This window comes from Homo sapiens, chromosome 1, assembly GCF_000001405.40.
Source record: "Homo sapiens chromosome 1, GRCh38.p14 Primary Assembly".
Lineage (NCBI taxonomy): Eukaryota > Metazoa > Chordata > Mammalia > Primates > Hominidae > Homo > Homo sapiens.
In genome coordinates, this window is record NC_000001.11 from 114605258 (window position 1) to 114619263 (window position 14006).

At 40.2% G+C, this 14006-nt stretch overlaps 1 protein-coding gene across 2 annotated transcripts in view; it reads right to left on the reverse strand.

Annotated features, from left to right (window-relative positions):
• The window catches only part of DENND2C (DENN domain containing 2C), an 87200-nt gene that overhangs the window by 22408 nt on the left and 50786 nt on the right, over window positions 1-14006 (reverse strand). For both annotated transcript variants that reach the window (NM_198459.4, NM_001256404.2), the window contains 3 exons: window positions 13129-13225; window positions 5816-5860; window positions 3429-3616 (listed from right to left, as the gene is read on the reverse strand). In NM_198459.4, the coding sequence (NP_940861.3) occupies window positions 3429-3616; window positions 5816-5860; window positions 13129-13225 (330 nt within the window). The remainder of the gene's footprint in view (window positions 1-3428; window positions 3617-5815; window positions 5861-13128; window positions 13226-14006) is intronic.

The following is a 14006-nucleotide window of genomic DNA, read 5'->3' on the forward strand; positions in this document are numbered from 1 at the left end:
ACTTAGAAATGGTATCTGTGGATATCTCAGCATCTACTGTAAGAGAGATTAGTGAAAAGTTTCCTATCAAGAGGTAAAATCTTAATTCAGGATTCACACACTAAATGGGAACCCAGTATTTTTATGAACCGTGGGGTATAAGATAAAAATCCATTCTTCAATGTACTGAGAACAAAAACCTAGTCGGCTCAAGACACTTTCCAAACAATAATCAAAGAAGCTTTGAAATGGTAGATGAATGTTATTTAGAAAAGATACGGCCAGATGCACTGGCCTGTAATCCCAGCACTTTGGGAGCCCAAGGTGGGCGCATCACTTGAGCCCAGGAGTTGGAGACCAGCCTGGGCAACATGGTGAAACCCCATCTCTACAAAAAATAGAAAAGTTAGCTGGGTGTGGTGGCACATGCCTGTAGTCCCAGCTACTCAGGAGGCTGAGAAGTGAGAGGATTTCTTGAGCCTGGGAGGACGAGGCTGCAGTGAGGCATGATTGCGCCTTGTACTCGAGCCTGGGTGACAGAGAGAAACCTGTCTCAAAAAAAGAAAACATAAAAGATACTATTTTGAGAATCCACCCCATATATAATCATTTCCTTTAGCATAGAATCTTTGCTACCTAATTGCTGGTTTGGAACTTCTTGTAAAATTTTAGCATAGAAGATCCTTTTGCATAAATCTGGTACTGTACTTATATGACAGTCTAAATTTCAGTAAACCAGACATTTAGAAATTAGTATGACCTGTCCTCTATAAAAACAAGCCCTTAAGTCTAATTACCATATTGCCTTCAGATAACTAATAACAATGATCTCCCTTTTAATTTCTTTTTTGTTGTTGTTGAGAAGGAGGTCTTGCCATGTTGCCCAGGCTGGCCTCAAACTCCTGTGCTCCAGTGATCCTCGTGTCTCAGCTGGCCAACTAGCTGGGATTACAATTATGTGCCACTGTGCACAGCTCCTTTAATTTCTTAAAAAAAAACAAACTATGTAGCCATTCTGGGTCACTTAACAGTGCTGTGACATTGTACTTTCAGGCTACATTGAGAAATTTTATAAGAAATTAAACTTACTGATTATTTACTGCAGGGATATTTTTGAGGACTTTTTGAAAATGAGAATCCATGCAGGAAATGTCTCTTAGATTCCAGTACAGTTGTACTTCACCAGCTTTTTTAGTGAAACATGTAACTCAGGGTTATAAACCCAACAGTCCTAAAGTGGCCAAGCAGATAACTGAAATGAAAGAAGTCGTCCAAGTAATAAGCAGGAGAGTGACTAAATGTCCCTATTAAAGGGATCACTCCTTACTAAGGAAAACTACATAATTCAGATAGCATAATGCAAAATGAAAATGTGGAGCCCCTTGTTCAAAAAGCAGAACAAATTAAATATAAAACATCTTTTTTCTTCTGTGGCCTCTGTAATGGAGTTTTTATTTGCTATTTAATGTCACACTCCCTCAGACATGAGGATCCTGGGGGATGACTGTAGACTCTCCCAGACACCCAGGTGCTGCAGTCTGCAATCCGGTACACAAGTGGCCCACAAGGTGCTGGGTTTCCTCTCTGGGTAGCTGCAGAATTGAGACTCTGTGTTTCGACTAGGGGTTGGGAAGTTAAGCCAGGCATCTCCCCTTCCCATGGGGGCCACCATTCCAACCCACAGCAGTTGAGCAATCCCCAAGTAGTCACCCACAAGTGGCACCACCAGCCCAGGCCAGGGAAAGCTGCCCCATGCCTTGCCTGGAGATGTTGCAGGGCAATGCTGGTCTGATCCTAACCCTCCCAATGCCTGTGCCCAGCCAGGGGGAGAAAGTGGCAGTAGTCACTGAGTAGGGGTGGAAAGGGCACTTACTAGGGCCCAGGGAATCAGGCAGTGGAGAACAGGACAACAAGAGAACTCATCCTAGGGAAGCAGCAGAAGGTGACACCATGCATGAACTCAGGCTTTAAGACCTTGGCACATGCCCAGTTTTCCTACCAGACTTCATTTACAAAACACAAATTCAAAGATAAAATTATTTAGCATTTCAAGATGGTGACTGCAGATCATTAAACCCTACACGCAGGGCCCTTCTGAGTGAGGGCCTTATGTAACTACACTGGTCACCTGCTCTGAAGTCCTGCTCCTTATTAAGCTTCAACCCATTCCTGACACTTAGGAATGCAGGCTGTGTTGGCAGTCTTTCCAGTTTCTCAGGAAAAGGCAGAAATACAGATTTGTATGTGAAATTTGATTGTTAAATGTTGGCAACAAAAATTATTGTTGTTCTTTTACACAAACACTATGCAAAGCAAAAGAAACCCAACCATGTCTGTGGGCTTAACTGGTTCACAGGCTCAATAAGCTCTGTGAAACAGAGACTAAGAAGATCTTTTTCAGTAGTACTCCCATCATCTAATCCTGGCAAATATTAGGTATTTTTAAAATATTTGATTAAAAGAATGAACAATTTTTTAAAAAAAGGTAGAGAAACCAAATATTATTGTTAATAATAATGGCTACCAAAAATTAATACCTACCATTTATTGAGTACATACTATGTGCCAGGGATGGCATTAGCACTATATACATTACCTCACTAAATCCTTACTGATAATGGATAACATCATATTCAGCTTACTATATGCCAGACACTGTTCTAAGTGCCTTATATAAATTAGCTTATTTAATCCTCACTATGACTCAGAGGGGTAGATACTATTGTGATTACCCCCATTTTACAAATTAAACAACTAAGACACAACGTGGTGGCTCACGCCTGTAATCCCAGCACTTTGGGAGGCTGATGTGGGCAGATCACTTGAGGTCAGGAGTTCTAGATCACCCTGGCCAACATGGTGAAACCCTGTCTCTACTAAAAACATAAAAATTAGCGGGGTGTGGTGGCACACGCCTGTAGTCCCAGCTACTCAAGAGGCTTGAACCTGGGAGGTGGAGGTTGCAGGGGTTGCAGTGAGCCAAAACTGCACCACTGCACTCCAGCCTGGGCAACAGAGCAAGACTCCATCTAAAAAAAAAAAAGAAAGAAAAAGAAAAGTAACTGCTTAAAGTCACGGAACTAGTAAGTGGGAAATGCAGAGCTTTCACACAGAGTCCATGCTCTAAACCACTACCCTATTCTGTCACATTTATTATTCCCCTCCTTAAGGATGAGAAAACTAAGGTTTTGTAACTTGTTAAAGATTATTAAATGGCAGAGCCAAAAATTTAAAAAACTAACTAGGAAAATGAGCTTGTTTTGTTTTGCTTTGTTTTGCTGGGTTGCAGCTCATACCTAACATAAGATGTTTTCAAAGCCACCAGATCCTACCACAAGAACAGTATTGGTAAAAACTTGTTGAGATAACAAAAACCAAGAGGACAGGAAATACATGTACACAGAGACACAGGAACATTCCTGAATGCCTCTTGGCCTCCTTGTGCCTACCTTGCCAGGGAATTGTTGTATGACCTGGGGAATATAGCTTATTCCTGATGGTTTCTTCTGTAGAGACACCACCACAAAAAGTTCAAACAGCTGCTGCTCCTGTAATTCAATAAGATCCCGCTCCAAGGTCTGGTAGTGAGGATTCCTCTTGGAAGACGGTTGCAGTTGTGCTAAGCGTTTATGGCGATCTGTAATGAAATCATGGAGAAATGTTTTTTTCTCTGTAGCCCTACCTTCCTTTCAGCATCCAGAGGTCATGACCCACATAGGATTAATCTTCACACAGTCACTGCTGAATGAATGTTGAATAACCAGCATCTGCCACATAGACATACCTGTTAAGGCTGTGACATACTAGGGGGAAGAAGTGCAGACCCTCACAAGTGTGCAGGGGCCTCACTCCACTTCTGGCCAGCAGTGGGACTGACATTCCATGTCCCAACCAATACTTATGTATGTCCCAACAAATAATCTATGCTATCCCATCTTTCATGGCATCAAACCAGGACACATGGAAAATGTCACGAAAAAGCGCTAGACTGACAACAGATGCTACTGCTGGGAATGCCATGAAATCACAGGGTGCCAGGTGGCACGGGGCAGGGGGCAGAGATCTGATAAAATAATTCAGTCCTAAGTACAGAAAGGGGGAGTTTGATAAATTAAAATAAAAATTTTCCTCACATTGAAGAAACTGTCCAGTTCCCTTCTCTCCTTGCCACATATTACTAACAATGAATATATACTTGTATCAGTAAATGGTGCTACACACAAGAGAAAAAAATTAAGTGGAAGAAGACATCCATTAGCTGACTTTCTTAAAAGAATAAAATTATGGAAGCATACTATTTAAACAGTCATAGCAATACCAATTAAAACTGGATAGCATCTATCCTCTATTCTCATTTATCTCTAAATTTTGAGCAATCTGGGGTGGTCCCCACTGAAGGAAACTGTGGACTTGCAGAAAAAATAGTCTACACGTCCCAGTGATTTGCTTATGTATAATTCCGAGCCACTGATAGACTCAACCTCTAATTGTCTTTCCTTTCTTTTTGATACAATGCATTCTGTCCCAAAAGAAGTTATACTATAGATCAAAATATTAAGAGCATTTTTAAAAAATGCATCCTGGAATGGCTCCCCGGAATTATCCAGTACATTCAGTGCTCTAGTCAAAGCTTTACTTACCTCAAAGGGCTGAGTTCAAGTCAAGAAAATTTTAGGTCCTGTTTCTCAGTAGTAACAGCCCTAAATTAGTCATCTTCACACATCTAGGCTGAACCTGATGATTATTAAATTTCACCTTCAGTCAGGCTACAGAATCAAACACCTAAAGCAATTCAGGCCAGTGGAGGGAGCACAAGACTATTAATCATAAAATTAGGGTGTCAGATTAGGAACTGGAACTGCCCTGTACTCAGCTTTGATAATGCATGTCTTCTACTTTTTCCATGGCTTAGTATGACAGTCACTTAAATAGGAAGTAGATAACTTGCTGTGATAACTAGAAAGCATCATCGTTAGATGAAGGATGAAGGCACCATGAAGTGCTTGGACAAAGAGAGTCAGAAATGCATGGTGCATTCTATATTCTACTAGAAAGTAAACAGCACAATAATCTGGAATATAAATGCCTATAAATAACAAATAGATATTTCCTTTTTCAATGTCAGAGATATCAAAGTTACTTAAATAATTACACTTGAGTGGCTATAAAAAATCAGACATTTGGCTGGGTGCGGTGGCTCACGCCTGTAATCCCAGCACTTTGGGAGGCCAAGGCAGGCAGATCAACGAGGTCAGGAGTTCGAGACCAGCTTGACCAATATGGTGAAACCCCATCTCTACTAAAAATACAAAAATTAGCTTGGCGTGGTGGCACATGCCTATAATCCCAGCTACTCAGGAGGCTGAGGCAGGAGAATTGCCTGAACCCGGGAGGCAGAGGTTGCAGTGAGCCGAGCTTGCGCCACTGCACTCCAGCCTGAGTGACAGAGGGAGACTCCGTCTCAAAAAAAAAAAAAAAAAATCAGATATTTACTGCTCAGAGGATGATTCACACACTCTGTTTTGGCTGCCAGGAAACTACTGCATATATGTCTGGACATGCAGCTCTCTGCCGCTCCCCTAAGAATATTCCATCATAAGAACCATACTGTTTTGCCTCACTCCACTATGGGAGACTTTAAATGCTGTCAAACATCTGACAGTGTTTAATTCTGACTGTTTAATTCTCCAAACCTCAACAGGCTCTGAAAATAAGGAAATCATCTACAAAATGGAACTTCATGTGGGAAAAAACATGCTTAGTCACAAAGGTAGGTGCCACTCCACCTAACCCATGATCATCACAACAACGGGAGCAGCCCCATTGACTCACTCACTCTTTGGCAGATACTCGGCATCACTTTCGTTCCCACTGGTTTCACCTGAAAAGAGAGAAGGAGTTTCCATTTGTATTGTCCAACAGTAGGAAGTACATGAGGATGAGAACAATGTAAACCCACAAACCTGGGGACTTGGAGTAAGGAATAATAAAGCTGCTGAGCCTTTCTCCAAACCACTTGGTTGTATCAAGTTGGGATAGTTACCAAAAGAGAGTAAAAAGCTCAAAGAGGAAACTCCTCTACTACATCTTCTTCCCATACCCTACTTCACTCCTCGGCTCCCCTCTCATCCCTAATTCTAGAAACTAATTGCATTTCAGACCAGTTTTAAGAGTCTAGTTCAGAGTGGATTCTATTTCTATATCCACATAGTTGTTTGTATATTCCAAATAGAGTATCAAAGGCAAACACCAACAGGGCTAAACAAGAATCTAAACACCAACCAGACTATAAATTTAGAATAACAGGAAAACATGAGAACTAGGAGAGAGATATTACCAAGTCAGCCTACCTCTTCTATGGTGCCTCTAAGTGCCTCTAAACTACTTCTAGTCCATATGGATCTTTACTCCAAATTCTCACAGTACTCATACTGCTTTGAACTATTCTTACTTTCCCCAATCCGATTTTAAGTATTTTGGGGACAAGGGGCTATCTTGTTTTCCCAAGGGAGTGTTTTTGTATAATTCTGAGAGCACAGGCAACACACACACACACACACACACACACACACACACACACAAAGCAGCTTTTAAAATAAAACATTTCTAGATTAAGTTTGAAAAGTTAAAGCAAAATAGAAATACAAAGAAAGGGAAAAAATAAGGCCTAGAAGTCATAAGTGAAATTTGATTATATAAACTTGTATCTAATTTAAAAATCAGTATTAAACTCAAAAAGTGAACAATAAACTGGGAAAATATTTGTAAACACATTGCAGACACAAGGCTAAGTTTCTTAATATTCAAAGAACTGTTACAAATCAAGAAGAAAAAGCACAACAGAAAAAGGAATAAAGGGTGGGAATAGGCAATTCATAGAAAAAGATTTATAAGTTGTTGATAAACATGAAAACTGCCCAAATTCATAACGAAATAAATGTAAATTAAAACAATAAACAAGACATACATTTTCAACCATGATATTGCCATAAAAAGCTTTAATAAAGCATAGTATTTATTGATGAAGATTATGGGGAAAGAGGTATTTTCAAATGATGTTTGTAGAAACAAGCTGTTACAATCTGTTTGTGGGACAATTTGGCAGCAGTTATAAATTTTTTTTTTTTTTTTTTGAGACAGGGTCTCACTCTGCTGCACAGGCTACAGTGCAGTGGCACAATCTTGGCTCACTGCAACCTCTGCCTCCCGGACTCAACTGATCCCCCCTACCTCAGCTTCCAGAGTAGGCTGGGACTACAGGCGTGTGCCACCACACCCAGCTAATTTTTTTTTTTTTTTTTGAGACAGAGTCTCACTCTGTCGCCCAGGCTGGAGTGCAGTGGCACAATCTCGGCTCACTACAACCTCCACCTCCAGGGTTCAAGCAGTTCTCCTGCCTCAGCCTCCTGAGTAGCTGGGATTACAGGCGTGTGCCGCCACACTGGGCTAATTTTTATATTTTTAGTAGAGACAGGGTTTCACCGTGTTGGTCAGGCTGGTCTTGAATTCCTGACCTCGTGATCTGCCCATCTTGGCCTCCCAAAGTGCTGGGATTATAGGCATGAGCCACCGCACCCAGCCACCCAGCTAATTTTTGTATTTTTTGTAGAGACGGGGTTTCGTCATGTTGCCCAGGCTAGTCTCAAACTCCTGGGGTCAAGTGATCCACCCGCCTCAGCCTCCCAAAGTGCTGGAGTTACAGGTGTGAGCCACCATGCCTGGCCAACATTTTAAATCCATATGTTCTTTGATTAAGCTCACTGCTAGGAACTTATTCTACAAAAATAGTCTTATATAGAAATATAAGTAAAAGATGCATTTGCAGCATTGTTTGAAGATTTTTATGTAGACACACACACTTTTAAATATCCACAGGTTAAATAAAAGGTTAGAAACAACTAAACTGTCTACTAGCTAAATAAAATTTTACATCTATGCAATGAAATACAGTACAGCTATGTGGATCTCTATGTGTTGATACTGAAAGAGCTCTGAAGTACATTAATTAAGCTTTTTTAAAAAGGCAGGCATACAAAGTCTGAATAGTGTAAGAGTATTTGTGTAGAAAATGTATTTGCGTGCACATGAAATTTTCTAGGTGTGCAAGGAGGAGGTTTGGAAAACTCTGGCTTTTCATTTTATAATAAGGAATAAGAGAACATTAAAATAAATGCTGCCTATTCTTAAGATAGGTGGGAAAGACACATAAGAGATGTTACAGAAAAAATGCTTATTTAAATATTGCATATTACATATGTTTTATAACTCAAAATTAACCACCATGACAAAAAGTATAGTGTGACTATAAAATATTATTCAGAGAAAGAAATAAACACTGTGAGCTCCTGGTCCTATCTATAGTCTTAGTACCAGGTATCTCTTAGAAACTTAGGAAGTGTTTGGAAAGAAAGAAAAGAGAGAAGAAAGGGAGAAAAGGCAATATAACTGGAAAAGCCCTTATAAAAGATCACTTAATTGGCTTAATATATTCACATCTATGGGTTTTGATGATGTGTATTCTAAGACAATGAATGAAGGTTAGTGGGATTATGAGCCAAGAGAAAAATCTACTGAGAATCCACAGGGATCGAAAAAGTACCAGATTGTCCTCTTTTAATATGAGACTTCAACACACAAAATTATAATGACAGAATTGAAGAAGGCTGATAAGTCATTTTGTAATACCTGAAAACTGAAAGTTAAGAAATATTTAGGGCCAGGTATGGTGGCTCATACCTATAATCCCAGCATTTTCGGAGGCCAAGGCAGAAGGATCGCTTGAGCCCAGGAATTCAAGACCAGCCTGGCAACATGGTGAGATTTTGTCTCTACGAAAAATTAAAAATTAGCCAGGTGTGGTGGGCATGAGCCTGTGGTCCCAGCTACTCAGGAGGCTCTGGTGGGAGGATCGCTTGAACCCAGGAGGTTGAGGCTGCAGTGAGCCATGTTTGCATCATTGCACCCCAGCCTGTGTGACAGAGTGAGACTCTGTCTTGAAAAAAAAAAAAAAAACTGAAGAAATATTTAGGTTGGAATATATTCAGTAAACTCTAGCAGGGACTTCACAGTAGGTAAATATAATTATCTATTGTATTAGGCATTGTTGATATACAGACAAAAGCTTAAGGAGGAAAATGAAAATCTGAGAACTGTGATGACAAAGCCAGGAGATCGTCAGGCATGAGAGAAATTCCTCTGGTGCATTGGAGGAGTTGGTCACAGAGGTAGGTAAAGGTAAATGCTTATTTTATTTGAGCCACAAGTGAAGTGTTACAATGTAGAGGCTGCTCCTTTTTTCTTTACTTTTGTTTTGGACAGCAGAAGTTGGCTAGAAGTTGGAGGATTTTTTTTTTCTTTTCAACATTAAAACAGTTAAAACAAATTTTTGGCTCTTCAAAAACTTGTCTTAGAACCAAATTTACTACAATGTTCCTAATCCATAAGGCATAGACATACAAATAAATTAAGGGCTTGGTAATAACCTACTTAGAAATACCTGGGCGCAGTGGCTCATGCCTGTAATCCCAGTACTTTGGGAGGCCGAGGCGGGTGGATCACGAGGTCAAGAGATTGAGACCATCCTGGCCAACGTGGTGAAACCTTGTCTCTTCTAAAAAAAATACAAAAATTAGCTGGGCGTGGTGACACACGCCTGTAATCACAGCTACTCGGGAGGCTGAGGCAGGAGAATTGCTTAAACCCAGGAAGCAGAGGTTGCAGTGAGCCGAGATCGCACAACTGCACCCCAGCCTGGGCAACAGAGCAAGACTCCGTCTCAAAAAAAAAAAAACCTGAAGAGAGTAGTTATGAATAGACTGCTGTTAATCTGAGAAAATGTTAATGTTTTACAAGCACTTGTCCTGGCCCCAGTATATGATAATTTATGTGATTTGCAATGTGTAATTTATTTCCTTATCTGTAAAATAATGAAAATACTATCTGCCACAGAGTTATTTAGAAAATTAATAATAATGCATCAGAAAGGATGCAGCACAATACCTGGCACGAGTTTTCATTTTCTATGTCTAGTTTTAAATAACACACAAAAATACCTTTGACAATACCATTGTTGAAGATAAAAAATACACGGAAAAGAGATGATTAAACTGCTAAAAATCAAGATTTATGAGAAAGTTAACCGTTGATGATAGAAAAAGATAAGCTATGTGGAGCCATGCTCCTTGATTCAAATCTATGCTTCCTCCTCTGTCTTAGCTTCTTTGTTTGTAAAATTATAATAGTCCCTACCTCCTAGTGTTGTCATACGTTATACATGAGATAAAATATGTAAAGAAACTATTACTTCATTCCATAAATGGTAGCTACTATTAATAACAATGACCAAAAGTATTTCTTCCCCAGAGAAGATTGAAACATGTTTTAGTAATTGCCTCTCAAATTATGAAAACTCACGTTAAAAACAGTGACCAGTTGATTTTAATCAGTACATAGCAGGAAAGAGACTTAAGATGTAACCCAGAAGATTTTATTTTCATATAGTAAGTTGTTAGAATATAAAATAGGTTTTTAAGGGTAATTAAGAAAATTCTGGCTGGGGGCCGGGCGCAGTGGCTCACGCCTGTAATCCCAGCACTTTGGGAGACTGAGGCGGGTGGATCACGAGGTCAGAAGATCGAGACCATCCTGGCTAACATGGTGAAACCCCGTCTCTACTAAAAATACAAAAAATTAGCCGGGTGTGGTGGTGGGCACCTGTAATCCCAGCTACTCGGGAGGCTGAGGCAGGAGAATGGCATGAACCCGGGAGGCGGAGCTTGCAGTGAGCCGAGATCGCACTACTGGACTCCAGCCTGGGTGACAGAGCAAGACTGTCTCAAAAGAAAAGAAAAGAAAAAGAAAAAGAAAATTCTGGCCAGGTATGGTGGCTCATGCCTGTAATCCTAGCACTCTGGGAGGCCCAGGCAGGTGGATCATTTGAGGTCAGGAGTTCAAGATCAGCCTGGCCAATATGGTGAAATCCCATCTCAACTAAAAATACAAAAAATTAGCTGGGTGTGGTGCCGTGTGCCTGTAATCCCAAGCTTCTCAGGAGAAAGAGGCAGGAGAATCACTTGAATCCAGAAGGCAGAGGTTGCAGTGAGCTGAAATTGCACCACTGCACTCCAGCCTGGGTGACAGAGTGAGACTCTGTATCCAAAAGAAAAAAAAAAAAGAAAATTCTGTCTTTAGAAGTCTGCAAAAAGAAGAAACATTCTCCTCTGCTATGACTTAGCTGGTGTTTCTCACTAAGGAACTTATAAACAAAAACTGCTAAATTCTACATATTTGCCAGATGCATTAGTCCATTTTCACACTGCTGATAAAGACATACCCAAGGCTGGGCATGGTGGCTCATGTCTGTAATCCCAGCACTTTGAGAGGCTGAGCTGGTGGATCACCTGAGGTCAGGAGTTCAAGATCAGCCTGGCCAACACGATGAAACCCCGTCTCTACTACAAATACAAAAAATTAGCCGGGTGTGGTGGCAGGCACTTGTAATCCCAGCTACTTGGGAGTCTGAGGCAAAGGAATCCCTTGAACCCAGGAGATAAAGGTTGCACTGAGCCGAGATCATGCCATTGCACTCCAGCCTTGGCAACAAGAGCAAAACTCCATCTCAAAAAAAAAGACATACGTGAGACTGGGAAGCAAAAGAGGCTGAATTCGACTTACAGTTCCATATGGCTAGGGAGGCCTCAGAATCATGGTGGGAGGCAAAAGGCACTTCTTACATGGTGGCAGCAAGAGAAAATCAGACGAAGCAAATGCAGAAACCCCTGATAAACCCATCAGTTCTCGTGAGACTTATTCACTCTCATGAGAATAGCACGGGAAAGACCATCCCCCATGATTCAATTACTTCCCCCTGGGTCCCTCCCACAACATATGGGAATTCTGGGAGATATGATTCAAGTTGAGATTTGGGTGGGGACACAGCCAAACCATATCCCCAGACAACCAAGTTAAGAATCTTGCGTAAGTTTTTAAGAAAGTTCTAATGATTTATTATGAATGTTGACAATTTCTTAATTAACAATGTAAGTTTTATCTAGGCATCTGAAGGATAAAACTTATTATTTTTTTTCTTTTTTGAGATGGAGTCTCACTCTGTCACCCAGGCTGCAGTGCAGTGGCGCGATCTCACCTCACTGCAACCTCTGCCTCCTGGGTTCAAGTGATTCTCCTGCCTCAGCCTCCTGAGTAGCTGGGATTATGGGCACACGCCACCACGCCCAGCTAATTTTTGTATTTTTAGTAGAGACAGGTTTCTCTATGTTGGTCAGGCTGGTCTCGAACTCCTGACCTTGTGATCTGCCTGCCTCAGCCTCCCAAGTGCTGGGATTACAGGCGTAAGCCACCACACCTGGCCAGGATAATACTTATTAAATGACTACAAGTTGAGTACCACATACCTTCAGTCAAAAAAAAAAAACCAGATAAATCAATATAAATTATCCAGTCTGAAGAACAGATTGAAAAATTTTAAAATATCCTCAGAGAAAAAAAAAAAGACTAATGTTTTCCTAGCTACAACAAAAGAGTCTATACTGATAAATGATTATAAATCAAAGTAATAGTGATTCAATTTGTCTATGAAATTTAGTCTCAATGGTTTATGATTATTTTTTCATTCATTTATTTGTTCATCCAATAGTTATTACTTGGCAGAGAATAAAATAAAATGGATTTGAGAAACAATCCCTTATCTTAAAGAAGTTTATGCTTAAGTGGGATAACAGGAAAGTAAACCAAATTTTTTTTTTTTTTTTGAGATGGAGTCTTGCTCTGTCGTCCAGACTGGAGTGCAGTGGTGCGATTTCAGCTCACTGCAAGCTCGGCCTCCCGGGTTCACGCCATTCTCCTGCCTCAGCCTCTTGAGTAGCTGGGACTACAGGCGCCCGCCACCACGCCTGGCTAATTTTTTGTATTTTTAGTAGAGACAGGGTTTCACCGTTTTAGCCAGGATAGTCTCGATCTCCTGACCTTGTGATCCACCCGCCTTGGCCTCCCAAAGTGCTGGGATTACAGGTGTGAGCCACCACGCCCGGCCCCAAAATTTTTAATACACATCAAACATTAAGTTATATGGTGATTCTCCTCTCATATCCTGACAGCTACAGGATAGCTGGAACGAAAAACAATTCTTACCTTTTGTCGGAGGTAATTCCTTTCCAGTGTAAGAATGTAACTTTACCTTCTTCTTCCCTCTTTTAGATTCAAATATGTCATCTATTTTCAATACAAGCTGAAAAAAGACCAGAAAAATACAAATTAAGACCAACACCCAAAAGTTTCACAGTTTGATGACATTAATCTATTAGGGATTCTTATTCAGAGAAAAGACCTATTTTATAAATAGAAACCTTTACCTTTTTGAATTTTGGATTTAAAATGATGATCTTTAATTAGATGATATGTTGTTCTAATACCAAGTTCACATAACATGGGGAAGGAAAGCAGGAAAGGATATTGGATGAACCCAGCACAGGCTTTTAGATTCCTTGTCACTCCATGTCACAACATGCAGGAAATGTGGCTATTGCCCTTTGTATAGTGATCAAGCCTTTACTATTAAACTCAAGTTTTCACTTGCCTGGAGTAGGAAGTGGAACACTCATTTATCTGAAAGGCAGGGTGAGGTATAGTTATTTCTGCTCCCAGAAATTCTTCCCAAGGAGCAGATAAACATACTTAGAAAGCTTTTGTCAAAGGGAATATTCTAAGAGTACTAACATTATAATTTATTTTAGAAATATGTCATAAAATTAGGAGAGCCAAATATACTCAAATACAAAAACTATGTTTTTTCTTCCACTCATCAATCTATTTCTCAAGCAAGTAAAATCCAGACTATTTATTTTTAAATTGTTATATAATTGCTTCTCTCCATTTCATAAGTATTACTCATTAGAAATTTTTCTTTGCTACTGGGAGAGATGTGTGTGTGTGTAAGAGAAACAGACAGGAGACACACACAGAATGCGGTAAAAAAGAGGAAAGATTCGGAGCTGATCAACAGGTACTTT